Raw genomic sequence first — 18,398 nt, 5'->3', positions numbered from 1 at the left:
AAAAGCAGCTACGTTATGGAAATGATTGAACTTCATTCAATCAGGAGCCAAACCAGTCGTAGTTCTACTTTCATCCGGGGCCCCACTCCCCATTTCTAAAAGGATTCTAATGCTGCAAATCCTAATCCTAACAGCAAATCATCAGAGCTGCTCAAAGTTCCTCGGAGGTGGGACTCCAGCAGATGGAATGCCTGTACCTTTTCTGTTTGTCCGCGGTGAGCTCACTGTTTTGACTTTCCATGAAAGTCAGTGTTGGAGAGCCCACACCGGATAACTTCGAGAAATGGCATAAACGACTTATAGTATCTTCATTCTTATTCAAAGGGAAAGATAAATCAGATGTTCATGGATCATAGCCAATGTGCAGTAGCCCAACAGCCCCTCGTAAGAACCAGAACTGACCAACAGCCGATGGTGTCAGGGCAATGAGCCATAATCGTTTTCTCTGCCATGTGTTTTGAAACCCAAATCATTTATCATACTGATTATAACCTACAAGGGTGACATTATTCATCTCTTTAATATCATTTCACATCTCCAAGGACATAATCATTCGTTTAATTAATGCATCAGTACAATTCCTGAGGGTATTGTCTTGGAAGTTGCTTCATGGACTGTGGGCAGAGCCCTTGAGAATGCCTGGGTTCCCAGGGTGCAGTGGGACAGCCTTCTCATGCTGTAGCATGAAACTGCATTGCCTCTGAATTGCTGCTCTGTGGCTTAGCTATTTCTTCTATTTAATTTCAAGGCTACTAATTTGAATCTCAAAAGTGGTCTCCTTCAATTCACAGATGAAATTGTTAAATTTAAGGATCATATTTCAGACAGTCTTTTCTTTTTTTAGTGCTGCAATCAAATGTATGTATGTATGTATGTATGTATGTATGTATGCATGTATGTATTTTTAGGTTTTCCTTTGTATCTTTTAGCAGTTCCATGTCATGACATGCCTTTTCCAGGTCTCTGGTTGTTCCTCCACTCTTGGGCTGTTGAGTTCCCTAATCCTAAGCTCTAGTCATTGCTAGAGTCCAGGTGGGTTCTGGAGGCAGCAATGCCACACCTGGCAGGCAGCCTGGCAGGCTCCATCTCTCAGTGCAGTTATCTTCACGGCACCAGCGGGAGACCTTGGAACCTCCTTTTCTCCTTGGCTAAAAAGGCTGGATCCACATTCTCTGCAGAGCTAGGGGCTAGGAGCTGCGAGGATTCAACACATCTTTTCTCCTCTCCTGGATGTCTTGCCAGGACCACTTCCACAGGCTCTTCCCATGCAGGGGCGCAGGGGCCTCTCCAAGGAGCAGTTGTCCTGCAGGAGTAGAGGGACCTCTCCAGGGTCCTCCACAACAAGCCCCAGAGGGAAACTAAGTCTCCTTTTGCACCTGGCAGGGCTTTGGCCCCTGCCTGCTCCCCACAGGCCTGTAGCTGTGCATCTCAGACGAGGGCCCTGTGCTTGCATTGGGGTCGGGAGAGGAGAGCGCTGGAGTCAGAGAAATCCCTTCCTGCTTCCATCTTTCCTTTGGCTTGGCGCACCAAAGCACACGCCCCTCTGAGGGCATTTACGGTCATTCATATTCATGACTTGCTGGCCCAAATTCTGGCTCTACTTAGAATAAATATGAAGCCATTTTTCAGAATAAAGTTTTTATTTCTTAGTTGTAAGTTTAAAATGGCCATTAAATGATTAGTGTGACTGAAGACATGAAGTAACATTCATTTGAAAATCGAGTTCTTTGAATGTGTGCAATCCATTTCATTACCATGTATCTTCTGTGGCTAGTTTTGGCTTTTCTTTTCTGAGCTTTCCTGGGGTGGCACGGGATCAAAAGAGCATGGTGGAGTGAAATGTCTACATTTTATGCAGGGACTACATGACCAAATCCCAAGATCCATTAATGGAAAAATGGATATGCATATACCTCTTGTGCCCTATTATGAAAATGGGCCTTATCTTACCTGATTAAATTGTCAGCTCTTATTAAAATGGATCCATGTAGCTAAAGAAATTCAAGCTTGGTGGAACTTGCAGAGAAGTGTAGCTAAATTGTTACCTCAGTGACATCTGTGTTTCTTATCAGAATCTCAGCCTTTCTGACCCTTTGGATGTGGAGAGATGTGGTAAAAACAAATTGTCTCACTCTATGGCTCCTGAGGGGGAAAGAATCCCCAAATTAACTTTGCTGGGGGTCTGGCGAGAGGGGAAGAGACCACGTCCACATTTGCATTTCTGTGTCTTACAGATTATCTTTCCTGCCTTGAATAGCAGAGCTGAGCTTCTCCCTGAAGGCTGAGGACTTTTTGCTAAAGCAATTTCTCTCTACCTTTTAAAAAAGTGCATATATATGGTGTATTTTTTTTCTTTCAACTGAGGATCAAGTCTGAGAAAGAAAATGAGGAATCAAGATAGCCAAACAATTCAGGCAAAATAAATTACCTGCAGGCATTTTTTTGGTGATGGTTGTTGCTTTGTGAGGGCTTCTGGGTGATGCCCAGGTGATGCTGGTTTCCCCTGGGCTCAGTTTTACTCAGGGACTGAGAATGAGTCCGGCAGAAGACCAGGACAGACTGCTACCCGAGCAAGGCCGAGAGGTCAGATGGCTTCTCCGAATCTGTGTTTCTGGATGGAGCCCAGCCTTGATGCGGGAATCATCCTGTCAAGGTGGGTGGAAGGGAAGCCTCCGGGCAGGAACTGCATGCAGGAAAAGCCACACTTTGGGTTCAGTGAACACAACCATCCCTTCCGCTCAAGCTTGTCCCACCTAATTTCAACTCCAGGCTTCGAGCTCAGCCACTTTTGACGAGCTTGAGTACCTCTTTGCAACCTTTGAGTCGAAGGGGAGGGCCTCTGGATTTGCGGTGAAGCAATCTCCTGTCAAGCTGGCCTTGATGGGCTCCTCCCTCTGCATATGGCTCGTCTTGTCACGCAGCAGATGCTTCCCCCATTCTAATGTTTGTATTGATTCAACCACACCACTGTGAGGCCTTTTCGGCCTGGGAGGTATATAAGAACCCTTTCATAGACAGAGGTTCCCTATCACCTAAGAACTGAGGGCCAGGAGCTGTTTTCAGCACCTTATATGAATTATCACACTTCGCCTTCACATCAACCTGGGAGGCAGGCACAACTCTTAGGGCCCTTTTACAGTTAAGGAAACTGAGGCACAGAGGGCTTCAGCAGCTCACCTAAGTTCACACAGCTAGCAATCAGGGCAGCCAGGGGTGAAACTCAGGTATATTGTTTTATCCACAACATCGGATGACATGCATGATGATATGGTTTGGCTGTGTCCCCACCAAATCTCATCTTGAATTGTAATTCCCATAATCCCCACATGTTATGGGAGGGACCTGGTGGGAGGTAATTGAATCATGGGGGCGGTTACCCCCATGCTGCTCTTCTTGTGATAGTGAGTTCTCACAAGGTCTGATGGTTTTATAAGGGGCTTTTCCCGCTTTTGCTCAGCACTTCTCCTTGATGCCGCCACGTGAAGAAGGACATGTTTGCTTCGCCTTCTGCCATGATTGTAAGTTTCCTGAGGCCTCCCCAGCCCTAAGGGGTTGTGAGTCAATTAAACCTCTTACTATAAAGTACCTCATCTCAGATGTGTCTTTATTAGCAGCGTGAGAACGGACTAATACAGATGACTTCCAGCTCCACCTCCAGACTGGAACTCTCTTCTGATGTCCAAATGTGACTAATGCAAGGCATCATCCCCTCCCCCACCGCACCTGTCCACTCCCTCTCTCCTCCCTCCTTCTCTCTGCTTCCCTCTGTCTGTCTCTCTCACTCTGTCTCTCTCTCTCTCTCCCTTCTCCCCAACTCTGTCCCTCTCTCCGAGTTGCCAATCTGCAGGTGCTGCATTACTCATATTCTGATTTTTGAAAACTGCCCTTTGGAATGTATTTCAACAAGAGGATGAATAGACATGACCACATTTCATGGAATCCAAGACCCACTGATTGTAAGATTCTCCATTATTTTATGCAGAGCTCAGAAAGACCAAAAAAAAAAAAAAAAGCCCAAAACCCTGCCAATGACACTATGATACAGCATCCCTTATAAGACCCATCTTGCTTTTTGAGGGGTTAAATTGCCTCTACTATCAGAGCAAATGAGCTTACAGATCATATTCAAAGCACTCGTGTGGTTATGGGCTCTGTCCAAACCAGGAAAATGGCCCTGCTCTGAGTGTAAACAGGTGCTGCTCCCACCTTTAAAGGGTTGTGTGCTCCTGAGCCCAGGCTGTGTGCCCACCAGGGAATATTCAGGGTCAGGAGTTCCACAGTGGAACCACCCTGTTATGATTGATACCAAGTCCCTTCACACCTAGGTCATCTTGGAGGGTTTCTTACCCTTGCTATATCTCAGCAAGTACCTACCTCACTGTATAGGCATGAGATATTATATTCCAAGTAAGCTAGAGGCCCAGGTCAGAGAAACTTCTGGCTAAACAGTAGCTTTCATTACTATTATCATGATTTTACTCATAGCTGCTTATTTGTCAAGACGGGTGTTCAGTGCATCCAGCAACCCTATTGTAGCTCAAAGCTTAGGAAGAGGTGATTAGGATTACAGTATAATAGCTCGCTTAGAGATGTGATTCATCAGAAGGGCTTGTCCTTAAATACCAGCAATTGAGAGGACAGTTTTCCTGGAGCTGGATCTGTGGGCCTCATTGGGAGGGACAGACTGTGCGCTCATGTAAGAGGGGCCAGCTTTGAAGCGAACGTTTACATAGCAACGTGAAAGATGGCTGTTGGACCATCCCCTGCTTTTCCTAACGTAGGGTACTTGCATGCTGTTTATTCATCTTTAGGACAGTCGCAGCATTTAGATCTGAGACTAGCTATAAACGAGAGCGAGGTTAGCGTATAAGAATGTCTTAGGGGGTTTTCCTGCTCCCTGGAGGCAAGTGGGCAAGCACAGGCAGGGCACGCCCCAGGGCAATGACAGGCAAGCCTCTCCCTCCACCGGCATCCAGGCCTCAGTGGCTTTGGCGGGGTCCCCGCTATTCTTTAGGAGGGCTACTTGCTGGTTATTCTGGGTCCAGGAAAGAGTTTGTGTGGTAGGAACCTTGGAGCATGAAACTTTAGTCAGCCTCTGAATTCTAGGGTATAATTAGAAAAATCACTTTATACTATTTAAATATTTAAAAAGCTGTATCAATCAAATAATTGGTGTATATAAATGTACCAAAATGGCAAGAAACTAGAAATATGGCTTGTTTGAGGTCAAGTTCATATAAGATGCTTTGGGGAAAGTGAAGGTAAGTAAAGCACAGTCCCTGTGTCACCTTTTTAAAAAAATAAATGTTATTGTGTATATTTGAGATTTATAACATGATGTCATGGGAGACACATAGATACTAAAATGGCTTCTATAGTTAAGTAAATTAACATATTTACCATACACATAGTTACTTTTTGGGGGCAAGAGCAGTTACAATCTACTTATTTAGGAACAATTTCAAATACATTTGATTACCTAGAGTCCTCATGTTGTACATTTGATCTCTGGCCTTGTTCATCCCACACATGTGCTGGTTTGTATCCTTTAACCTACATCTCCCCACCCTCAGCCCCTACCCCTGGTGACCCGGGGGCTTTCTGTTCTATCTCTGTACATTTGACCTTTAAAAAAATTCCACATCTAAGTGAGATAAGCAGTATTTTTCTTTCTGTGTGGGCTTTATTTCACTTAGCATGATGTCCTCCAAGCCTGTCTGTGTTGTAGCAAATGACACAATATCCTTCTTTTTAAAGGCTGAATAATACTCCATTGTATACACAGTACAGATGCCATATTTTCTTGATCCATTCATCTGTCAATGGACATTTGGGCTGTTTCCATATCTTGGCTACTGTAAATAGTACTGCCAGGGACTGGAGAGTGTGGATACCTTTACAAGGCGGTTATTTCATCTCCTTTTGGGTAAGACCCAGAAGAGGGATTCCTGGATCCTCAGTGTCCCTCAATTAAGGTAAGATACTGCATTTAAACAGATGCCTGAGGAAACACACACACATACACATGCACACACACACACGCCTAAGAAACACACACACACATTCAGTCTTTTATGTGTAGCTGGGACTGTAATACATCGTATCAATTTTCTGGTTTGAGCACAGAGGAGGACGTAGATATCTTCTGTTTACTTTTAAATTCAGAGCATTAATGAGATGGATTTTCCCAAGCTGGGGTGAGGGGGTTTCTCATCCCTGCTTGGTGTCTCCTGACTCTCTGCAGGCAGTTGGCTTTTGCTCATTTGCATTTGATTGGCTTTGGTTGTCATGTGTGCGCCCATGAGGTCCTCACCACATCTGGCTTTTGTTTCTCATATCTCCTCCCTGCACATGGCAGGCACAGGTTTCTGCACACAACAGGGCTCAGTGACTGTTTTCATCCAATGGCCACAAGAGAAGATAATAATATTGCCCTGGAGATTTTCTGTAGCGTCTCCCAGGGACGGCCAAACCTGCACAGCTTTGGCAGTCTGCACTCCGCATGCCAACGCCGGTGAGCTGACTTCCTGCTGGCCGTCTGGACCGTAAGGAAAGTCACCTGCCTGCACACACATGCGATGCACACACACGTGTGCACACACATGCGATACGCACACACTTGTGCACACACATGCGATGCACACACCTGCGTGCACACGCATGCACGCACACAAGCATGCACACACACACTGTGGAAACCTGCTTCTCATTAACTGAGCCCTCTCTGCTTTAATCGAAATAATTGGACTACAGTGGCCAATAAGAAAATTGTTGGGGGAAAAGATAGACATTTACATCTTAAAATTGAAACACTTTCTGACTGATTAATTGGTGGAAAGCAAAAGATACTCTCTTCTTCCTTTTTGTGTTTCACATTTATTACAGTTTATGCTCTGGAAGTGAAAACGCACCAGTGCTTTCCTGGATGGAAAAAGTAATCCAGATATTACCCTACCAAACTATATTCTCTCTTTCCTCTTTTTAATGAAGTAGTTAGTGTTTGTTAAATAATAAGAGAAAAAAGCACTTTAATTAATATTAACAATTGGAAGGGGATTAGTGCCCTAATCCCCTATTACCAGGTTTCTAATCCACCTTTAATTGTGTAGGCAGCTATAAATGAAGCACCTAAAACTCTACCAAGCTTAGGGGCAGCCAGAGGGTGGCGATCAGCCCTCACATCTCTGAGGATGCATGGGGCCCCATGCAGCCTCTGTCTTCCGATCCTTCCTAATGCTCTGCCTTTCCATCAATTGAATGGCTCCTGGAGCTGATCCCAGCCTTGTCTTTAAGAGTGGAATCCAGCACTTTGGGAGGCCGAGGCAGGTGGATCACGAGGTCAGGAGATTGAGACCATCCTGGCTAACACGGTGAAACCCCATCTCTACTTAAAAAAAAGAAAAAAAAAATACAAAAAATTAGCCGGGCGCAGTGGCAGGCGCCTGTAGTCCCAGCTACTCGGAAGGCTGAGGCAGGAGAATGGCGTGAACCCGGGAGGCGAAGCTTGCAGTAAGCTGAGATCCCCGCCACTGCACTCCAGCCTGGGTGACAGAGCGAAACTCCGTCTCAAAAAAAAAAAAAAAAAAAAGGAGTGGAACCCAATGAGGCCTGGCATTCTTATCTCTGTAGTGCAAAGAGAGGTCTACTTGGTGTGCAGAGGAGACCTTGCCTGAAAAAGCCAAGATCTGGGAAATGTCAGACGGGCTGATGCTGAAGCCTGGTGTCTCCAACAGAAATATCCTCAAGTTTCTCTGTTATTGTCAACAAAATAGCAATGAGAAGTTTGCCAACATGTACATGTGAAGATTTGTTTTGAATATAGAGCAAAGCTGAATTATAGATCATCAAGAAGCAGCTAAGCCTTCATTATTTAATTGGAAGGTAGGAAAGAAGGACGAAAAAAGGAAAGAAAAAAGCACAGTCAGCCTGACTCCCTAGTTTTCATCCATTCCTTTCCCCTCCTTACCCCAATGCCAGAGATGGGAATATTCCCTAGTAAACTCATTAATTTCCCTCAGTTTTGACAGACTGCTTAAATCAGCTTAGAAATGCCACCACTGAATAAGCTTACCCGTGAGTTGATGATTGCTTCCTTCCTAAAGAGCAGCTCACACACCAACTGCAAGTGAAACGGTGTACTCCAAGAGTAGCTTAATTACAGATCTGATAGAGGAAGACACCGAAAATGTGTAAGAGCTGAAGAGACCACAAGCTGAAGCTGTATTGGTGTTATGGATGCTTAAATCATAACCTGTGGGGTGGCATAGCTGGAAGGCAAGGCAGATTTTGTTCCAGACATCTACCTTCTGTGGATTTGGTGCTCAAAGATATTAATTCTCATATGGGCATCATATAGGATGTTAAAAAAAAAAGATGTCAAGAGGATATTTGCTGTTTCTTTTTCTCTTCCACGAGAAGCATGCCAGACATAATTATTCACCTGAGTTTGTAACACATTGCTTAGGAGGGCCAAAGGCTAGCCCTGCTAGACCTGTTACCCAGTCCTACAGCTGCTGGAGAAGGGCCAGGAGTGGGTAGTGCGCAGCATCCTGTGTATGGGACCAGCTCTGCCACTGGTGGGCAGCAATGAGCAAGGACCATAAGCAAGGCTATTGAGATCCCTAGGACAGTTTGCAGAAGGGTGGGTCATGTTAGCCTTCTTCCTTTTCTGATATACTTACCAAAGCAGCAGTTCAGAGGAATGCCATTGAAATAGGGTATCTGGATGCCCACGAGGCATTTGGCCAGGTCTTATGATATCCTTGTGGGGAGGGTGGAAAAACATGGGCTAGGTATATTCATAGCTGGTAGAGTGAAAAGCATTGCTCCAAGTCAACCTGGAAATGGGTAGGGGAGTCTCTTGTCCCTTAATGCATCTTATCTTGTTTCCATATTTGTAGCAATGGCTCAGATGACACACATAGACACTAATCATATTTGTAAGGAATTGCTTATGGCCTGAGTGACAGAATCTAAAATGAAGGGTGGAAACTAAGAAGATGAAATTTAATAGGGATGAGTAGAATAATTTCTCCAAATCTAGTCATTCATTAAATTTTTTTGATGTGATCTCTTAAAGCTCTCCCAAATGCACCCAGTTCTATCCATCATCGCCATCCTGACCCCAGCCATGATCATCACTTGTTGGTCTCCCATTTGGTCTCTCAGCTTCTACTCTTGTCCTTTTACTGTTCATTCTATTGCCAGCATCCAATTGTCTTTTTAAAATGCAAAGCTGATTAAGTTCATCTGCTGCATCAGTTTTTCTTGCCCTTGGAACAAATCCAGGCTCATTAGCATGATTCACAGGGCTCTGTGGCATTTGGTTCCAACCTCCTCTCCACTTGCCCTGCCCCAATCACGCAGCTCCTCAAGCACACCATGTGCTATCTCGCCTCTAGGCTGATGAACACATGTCCCCTCTGCCTGGAATATCCATTCATTCCTTTCTATTGCTGAGTACTACTCTCCATTACATGGATGTACCACCAATGTGATCATGCAGTTATGAACATTCTCATACAAGTCTTTTTGTGGACATATGCTTTCATTTCTTTTTGGGTAGAAATCTGTAGGAGTGGGTTTGCTGGGTTACATGTAAACATATATTTAACTTTATAAGAAATTGCCAAACAGTATTCCAAAGTGAACTGTATTACTTCACATTCCCAACAGCAATATACAAAAGTTGAGATTTCTCCGTATTTTCAGCAACACTTGATATTGTCAGCATTTTTAGTATAAGCCATTATAATAGGTGACTAACGGTATCTCATTGTGGTTTTAATTTGCATTTCCTTGATGACTAAAGATGTTGAACATCTCTTTGTGTGCCTATTTGTCATTTGTATGTCTTTATGAAGTGTCTATTTAAATCTTTACCTCATTTCTCAAAATTGAGTTGTCATATTGAGTTATAAGAGTTATTTATATACAGACAGTCCCCAACTTATGATGGTTCAACTTGTGATTTTTCAACTTTACAATGGTGTGAAAGTGATACACATTCAATAGAAACTATACTTCGGGTACCCATACAACCATTCTGTTTCTCAATTTTACTACAGTATTCAATAAATTACATGAGATATTCACCACTTTACTATAAAATAGGCTTTGTGTCAGATGACTCTGCACAACTGTAGGCTAATGTAAGTGTTCTGAGTACATTGAAAGTAGGCTAGGCTAAGCTTTGATGTTTGCTAGGTTGGGTGAATTAAATGCATTTTTGACTTAGAATATTTTCAACTTACAATAGATTTGTCAGGATGTAACCCCATCATAAGTGAAGAAGCGTATGTAACAGGTACAAGTCTATTGCTAGACATATTTAATGCAAATATTTGCTTCTGGTCTGTGGCTTTTCTTTTTGTTTGTTGTTGTTTTTTTTTTTTAAATAAGTGTCTTTCAAGGAGCACAAGATTTTAATTTTGGCAAAGTCCAATTATTTTTTCTTTTACTTTTTTTTGAGACAAGGATTTGCTCTGTCACCCAGGCTGGAGTGCGGTGGAGCAATCACAGCTCACTGTAGCCTTGACCTCCAGGGCTCAAGAGCTCCTCCAACCTCAGCCCCCTGAGTAGCTGAGACTACAGGTGTGTGCTACCATGCCTGGCTTTTTTTTTTTTTTTTTTAAATAAGAGATAGGGTCTCACTATGTAGCCCAGGCTGATTTTCTTTTTTCTTTCATGGTTAGTAGTTTTGGCATTCTGACAAATCGGTGCCTACCCCAAGGTACAAAGATTTTCTCCTGTGTTTTATTCTATAAGTTTTATAGTTGTAACTTGAACATTCAAGTCTATGGCCCATTTCAAATTAATTTTCATGTGTGGTGTGAGGTACAGGCTGAGGTTTATTTTTTTTCTAAATGTCATAGTCTCCTGAACTTGAGGACTCACAGACACCCAAGAAGAGGTACCTGGCTGGGATATGTATTGGGGTGTGGGGTACTGAGCTAGAGATGTGGACCCCAGCTGCTCCTCAATCCCAGTCAGGGCTCCTCCACTGCTATATTCGCCTTTATTGGTCTTTAGATAAAGTTTCATTTGAATACAGAGTTTCACATCTAACAATGTTAGAATCCTGTCTAGTCTCTGAGTTATAAGATGGGGGAACGGGGCCCAGAGAAGGTTGTAGTTTTGCAGGTGAGTCCATGCCAGAACCGGACCTGCAGGCCAGGTCTCCTCCTAGAGTACCACACCTTCCTCTGCCCCACCTCCACACAGCCTCTGGTGGAGAGCTGCGGGAGATTCCACAAAATCCCTTATTTGCAATTTGCCTTTTCAGCATTTTAAACATTGAAAATGAGTAACACTTAAAGCTAAATAATTTATATCCTCTTTTTCTGATGCTGTCACTTGCAGAGGAGATAAAAGATGAGTTTGTCAGGAGGGGTGGCAGTCGTCCAAAGGCTCTGCAAGCACATTCTGCATCTCAGTGGAAAAGCCCAACCTATCAGTCAATGTGGAGCAGAGGTCAGCTTCATGGATATCAATTAGAATTTCTTTTCCCCACTTTCTGAAATGTGACCTGACATCCTCATGATCTGCTTGGGTTTCCAAAGACTCTGGATTCTTGCAAACTAGCTAATAACTGTTAAGTGCAAGTGGTTGCACAGTGAGAGTTGGAATCCAGAGTTTGAGAACAAGGCTAAAGACTTCTGGAAATCCTTAGTACTGGCTCTGAGATGGGAGAGTGCTATGGTGCCACTGTTTCCTGTACAACATTTTGCTTCTTTGAAAAACTTAAATTCTATTTAAAAACCTTTTAAAGTAGAGTGGTCTCTCTTAGCATGAACCTGATCATGTCTCTCCTCTTCCACCTTAAGACTCTCCAGGGCCTTCCCATTTCACTGAGGACACAGTCCAGACCCACGGGCATGCCAATAAGTCTCACACCTGCCTCTTAGTGCCCTTCTTTTTTCACCTCCTCTCTGTTCACTACTTGCTGGCCATATCCCTTCTCTTTCTGTCTTTTGAACACAGCAAACCCTTCCTGTCTCAGGACCTCTGCCCTGGCTGATCCCTTTGCCTGGAATGCTCTTGCTCTGAATCCGCTGTAGTTCCGTCCTCACCATCATCAGCTACTCAGAGAGGACTTCACCAGCTCCACGCACCATTCCCAATCATGTTACTCTCTAGTTCTGTACACAGCATTTATTCATACCTGAATTACTTATTTATATATTTATTTATTCAATCCTTCTGTCTGAATACAGTCACCAGGAGGGTGCTGCCTCACGGGCTGGTTCACCCTGGATGTAGCATCTAGAACAGAGGTTGGTGTAGGTGAATATTCAGAAACATTTGCTGACTGCTGCAAGTGAGTCACATAACTCAGGAGGATGTCCCCTGTCCACACTCATCTTCCCAATCCAAACTCCCTCCCCAGAGATGATTATTGCTAACATTTTCATGTATTTCCTTCTAGTCCTTTCTCTGAGTATTTACATATATATCACACAATCATGTATGGACACACACACAGACACACGATTTGTCTCTATTTTTGCTCCTTTTTGGTTTTCTTGGCAGATGAGATCTTTCTAGCCATACCGTCCTGCAGCTTGCTCTTATCACTTAGGAATGTGCCTAGAGGGAAGTTTTCACTTCACTTTAGCACATAGAGATTGACTTCATTTTAGGTTAAAAAAAAAAAAAAAAAAGCAAGCCTGGTCTTCTGCAATTAGGTAACTATGTGATTATCAGGGGACACATGGGCCTTTTTCACTCCTGTGGCTCTAGAACTTCATGAGCAGTTCCCTCCCTGGGCTGATCCTGCTTTTAGGTGTTCATTTTTTCTTTCCCTTGTGGAGGCTCCTTTACCATGTGGCCATCTTCAGTCTTTCCTGCCCCTCCATGCAGGATTATGGCAGACGATATCCTGCCTGGAAGACCTAGGATACTGTTTGTGGAGCATAAATATGATACACCCTCAGCCCCTGACTCCTCACCAAGCACAATGTTTGGAAACAACAACAACAACAAAAACTTTTTAAAACTACAGGGTAGCAGAGAACACAATGTATGGTAGGAAATAAACAATTTTCTTTTTCTTTTCCTCATTTTTTTTCCTGCAACTTTGAGTTCTGGGGCACATGTGCAGGTTTGTTACGTAGATAAACATGTGCCATGGTGGTTTGCTGCACAGATTAACCCATCTCCTAGGTATTAAGCCCAGCATCCATTAGCTATTCTTCCTGATGTTCTCCCTCCCCCATGCCTCTTTGACAGTCCTCAATGTGTGTTGTTCCCCACTCCATGTATCCATGTGTTCATGTGTCCTCATCATTCAGTTCCCACTGAATAAGTGAGAACATGGGGTATTTGGTTTTCTGTTCCTGTGTTAGTTTGCTGAGAATAACAGCTTCCAGCTCCATCCATGTCCCTGCAAAGGACATGATTTTGTTTCTTTTTATGGCTGCATAGTATTCTATTGTGTATATGCACCACATTTTCTTTATCCATTCTATCACTGATGGGTATTTGGATTGAATGCATGTCTTTGCTATTGTGGATAGTGCCGCAGTGAACATATGTGTGCATGTATCTTTATAATAGAATGATTCATATTCCTTTTGGTATATATCCAGGAATAGGATTGCTGGGTCAAATGGCATTTCCGCTTCTAGATCTTTGAGAAATCACCACATTGTCTTCCACAATGGTTGAATTGATTTACTTTGTCACCAACAGCATAAAAGTGTTCCTTTTTCTCTGCAACCTTGCCAGCATCTGTTGTTTCCTGACTTCTTAATCATCACCATTCTGACTGGCATGACATGGTATCTTATTGTGGTCTTGACGTGCATTTCTAATGATCAGTGAAGTTGAGCTTTTTTTCATGTGTTTGTTGGCTGCATGAATGTCTTCTTTTGAGAAGTGTCTGTTCACATCCTTTGCCTACTTTTAATGGGGTTGTTTTTCTTTTTTTGTAAATACAAGTTCCTCGTAGACTCTGGATATTAGACCTTTGTCAGATGGAGAGACTGCAAAAATTTTCTCCCATTCTGTACATTGTCTGTTCACTCTGCTGATGGTTTCTTTTGCTGTACAGAAGCTCTTTAGTTTAATTAGATCCCATTTGTCAATTTTTGCTTTTGTTGCAATTGCTTTTGGTGTTTTTGCCATGAAATCTTTGCCCTTGCCTATGTCCTGAATGGTATTGCCTAGGTTTTCTTCTAGGGTTTTTACAGTTTAGGGTTTTACATTTAAGTCTTTAATCCAACTTGAGTTAATTTTTGTATAAGGTGTAAGGAAGGGGTCCAGTTTCAATTTTCTGCACATGCCTAGCCAGTTCTCCCAGCACCATTTATTAAATAGGGAATCCTTTACCCATTGCTTGTTTTTGTCAGGTTTTCAAAGGTCAGATGGTTTTAGGTGTGTGATCTTATTCCTGAGTTTTCTATTCTGTTCCATTGGTCTATGTCTCTGTTTTTGTACCAGTACCATGCTGTTTTGGTTACTGTAGCCTTATATAGTTTGAAGTTGGGTAGTGTGATGCCTCCAGCTTTTTCTTTTTGCTTAGAATTGTCTTGGCTATTTGGGCTCTTTTTTGTTTCCATATGAATTTTAAAATAGTTTTTTCTAATTTTGTGAAGAATGTCAATGGTAGTTTAATGGGAATAGCATTGAATCTATAAATTACTTTGGGCAGTATGGCTATTTTCATGATATTGATTCTTCCTATTCATGAGCATGGAATGTTTTTCCATTTGTTTGTGTCCTCTCTGATTTCCTTGAGCAGGGGATTGTAGTTTTCCTTGAGGAGGTCCTTTACTTCCCTTGTTAGTTGTATTCCTAGGTATTTTATTCTCTTTTGGCAATTGTGAATGGGAGTTCATTCATGATTTGGCTCTCTGCTTGCCTGTTTTTGGTGTATAGGAATGCTAGTGGTTTTTGCACATTTATTTTGTATCCTGAGACTTTGCTAAAGTTGCTTATCAGCTTAAGAGGCTTTTGGGCTGATATGATGGGATTTTCTAGATACGGGATCATATCATCTGCAAACAAAGATAATTTGATTTCCTGTCTTCCTATTTAAATACTCTTTATTTTTTTTCTCTTGCCTGATTTCCCTGGCCAGCACTTCCAATACTATGTTGAATATAAGTGGTGAGAGAGGGCATCCTTGTCTTATGCTGGTTTTCAAGGGGAATGCTTCCAGCTTTTGCCCATTCAGTATGATACTGGCTGTGGGTTTGTCATATATGGCTCTTATTATTTTGAGATATGTTCCTTCAATACCTAGTCTGCTGAGAGTTTTTAACATGAAGGGATGTTGAATTTTATTGAAGGCCTCTTCCATGTCTATTGAGTTAGCCATGTGATTTTTGTCTTTAGATCTGTTTATGTGATGAATTCCATTTATTGATTTGCATATATTGAACCAACCTTGTATCGCAGAGATGAAGCCAACTTGATTATGGTCGATAAGCTTTTTGACGTGCTGCTGGATTTGGTTTGCCAGTATTTTACTGAGGATTTTCACATTCATGTTCATCAGGGATATTGGCCTGAAGTTTTCTTTTTTTGTTGTATCTCTGCCAGGTTTTGGTATCAGGACGATGCTGGCCTCATAACATGACTTAGTGAGGAGTCCTTTCTTTTTAATTGATTGGAATAGTTTCAGTAGAAGTGGTACCGGCTCTTCTTTGTACCTCTGGTAGAATTCAGTGGTAAATCCATCTGGTCCTGGGCTGTTTTTTTGGTTGGTAGCCTATTGATTACTGCTTTAATTTCAGAAATCATTATTGGTCTATTCAGGTATTCAGTCTTTTTCTGGTTCAGTCTTGGGAGGGTGTATGTGTCCAGGAATGCATCTGTTTCTTCTAGATTTTCTAGTTTATGTGCATATAGATATTTATAACATTCTCTGATGGCTGTTTTTATTTCTGTGGGGTCAGTGGTGATATTCCCCTTATCATTTCTGATTGTGTCTATTTGATTCTTCTCTCTTTTCTTTTTTATTATGGGGTTTGTTTGCTTTTGGTTCTCTAGTTCTTTTAGTTGTAATGTTAGGTTGTTGATTTGAGATCTTTCTAGCTTTTTGGTGTGACCATTTAGTGCTATAAATTTGCCTCTTAACACTGGTTTGCTGTGTCCGAGATTCTGGTATGTTGTCTCTTTGTTCTCATTAGTTTCAAAGAGTTTCTTGATTTCTGCCTTAATTTTAATATTTACCCAGCAGTCATTCAGGAGCACGCTATTGAATTTCCATGCAGTTGTGTGGTTTTGAGTGAGATTCTTAATATTAAGTTCTAATTTTATTGTTCTGTGGTCTGAGAGACTGTTAATGATTTCAGTTCTTTTGTATTTGCTAAAAAGTGTTTTACTTCCAATTAAGTGATCAGTTTTAGAGTAAGTGCCATGCAGTGATGAGAAGAATGTATATTCTGTTGCTTGGGGGCAGATAATTCTGCAGGTATCTATTAGGTCTGCTTGATCCAGAGCTGAGTTCAGGTCCTGAATATTTTTGCTAATTCTCTGTCTTGGTGATCTGTCTAATATCGTCAGTGGGGTGTTAAAGTCTCCCACTATTATTGTGTGGGAGTCTAAGTCTCTTTGTAGGTCTGTAAGAACTTGCTTTATGAATCTGGGTCCACCTGTGTTGGGTACATATATATTTATAACAGTTAGCTCTTCTTGTTGAACACTTTACCATTATGTAACGCCCTTGTTTGTCTTTTTTGATCTTTGTTGATTTGAAGTCTGGTTTGTCAGAAACTAGGATTGCAACCCCTGCTTTTTTCTGTTTTCCATTTTCTTGGTAAATTTTCCTCCATCCCTTTAAATTGAGCCTGTGTGTGTTTTTGCAAGTGAGATGGGTTTTTTGAAGACAGCATAATGATGGGTTATGATCAATCTTGCCATTCTGTGTCTTAATTGGAGCATTTCGCCCATTTACACTTAAGGTTAATATTGCTATATGTGAATTTGATACTGTCAGCATGATGCTAGCTGGTTATTTTGCAGACTTGTTTATGTGGTTGCTTTATGTCACTGGTCTATGCACTTCAGTGTGTTTTTGTAGTGGCTAGTAATGGTTTTTCCTTTCCATATTTAGTGCTTCCTTCAGGAGCTCTTACAAGGCAGGCCTGGTAATGATGAATTTCCTCAGCATTTGCTTGTCTGAAAAGTATCTTATTTCTCCTTTGCTTATGAATCTTAGTTTGCCTGGATATGAAATTCTGGCTTGGAAATTCTTTCTTTTAAGAATGTTGAATATTGACCCTCAATCTCTTCTGGCTTGTAGGGTTTCTGCTGAGAGATCTGCTGTTAGTCTGATGGGCTTCCCTTTGTAGGTGACCTGGCCTTTCTGTTGGGCTGCCTTTAACATTATTTCTTTCATTTCGACATTGGAGAATCTGATGATCGTGTCTTGGGGTTGATCTTCTCATGGAGTATCTTAGTGGGGTTGTCTGGATTTCCTGAATTTGAATGTTGGCCTGTCTTGCTGGCTTGGGGAAGTTCTCCTGGATGATATCCTGAAGTACGTTTTCCAACTTGGTTCTGTTCTCCCCATCTCTTTCAGGTACCCCAATCAGTTGTAGGTTTGTTCTCTTTACATAATCCCATATTTCTCAGAGGTTTTGTTCATTCCTTTTCATTATTTTTTCTCTATTCTTGTCTGCCTGTCTTATTTCCCAAAGACAGTCTTCAAGCTCTGAGATTCTTTCCTCCACTTGGTCTATTCTGCTATTGATACTTGTGATTACATTGTGAATTTCTTGTGTTGTGTTTTTCAGCTCCATCAGGTCAGTTATGCTCCTCTCTAAACTGGCTATTCTGGTTATCAGCTCCTGTATTGTTTTATCATGATTCTTAACCTCTTTGCATTTGGGTTACAACATGCTCCTTTAGCTCAGTGAAATTCATTATTACCCTCCTTCTGAAGCCTACTTCTGTCAGTTCAGCCATCTGTTTCAGCCCATTTCTGTGCCCTTGCTAGAGAGATGTTGCAGTCAATTGGAGGAGAAGAGGCACTCTGGCTTTTTGAATTTTCAGTGTTGTTGCACTGATTCTCTCTCATCTTTGTGGGCTTACATACCTTTCATCTTTGAGGCTGCTGAACTTTGAATGGAGTTTTTGTGGAGTCTTTTTTGTTAATGTTGTTGTTGTTGCTTTCTGTTTTTTGTTTTGTTTTGTTTTCTTTTCTTTTAATAGTCAGGCCACTCTTCTGTAGGGCTGCTGTGGTTTGCTGAGGGTACACTCCAGACCCTAGTTGCCTCTGTCCCTCCCACACCTGGAGGTATCACCAGTGAAGGCAGAGAAACAGCAAAAGTGGCAGCCTGTTCTTTCCTCTGGGAGCTCCTTCCTAGGAACCACCAATCTGATGCCGGCTGGAACACTCCTGTAGGAGGTTACTGGAGAGCCCTGTTGGGAGGTCTCACCCAGTCAGG

The 18,398-nt window shown here is 42.3% G+C and overlaps 1 protein-coding gene and 1 long non-coding RNA gene across 6 annotated transcripts in view; both read left to right on the top strand.

Annotated features, from left to right (window-relative positions):
- C10orf90 (chromosome 10 open reading frame 90) overlaps positions 1–18,398 on the top strand; it is a 245,697-nt gene that overhangs the window by 63,923 nt on the left and 163,376 nt on the right. The gene's annotated exons all lie outside the window — the stretch shown is intronic.
- On the top strand, positions 61–2,437 carry LOC124902523 (uncharacterized). The gene is made up of 2 exons (XR_007062335.1): positions 61–215; positions 2,235–2,437. It is a non-coding gene; the product is annotated as an uncharacterized LOC124902523 (long non-coding RNA).

Source organism: Homo sapiens, chromosome 10 (genome assembly GCF_000001405.40).
Source record: "Homo sapiens chromosome 10, GRCh38.p14 Primary Assembly".
Taxonomy (NCBI): domain Eukaryota; kingdom Metazoa; phylum Chordata; class Mammalia; order Primates; family Hominidae; genus Homo; species Homo sapiens.
Note: the sequence above shows the minus strand (reverse complement) of the source record. Positions and strands in the feature narration are given on the sequence as shown.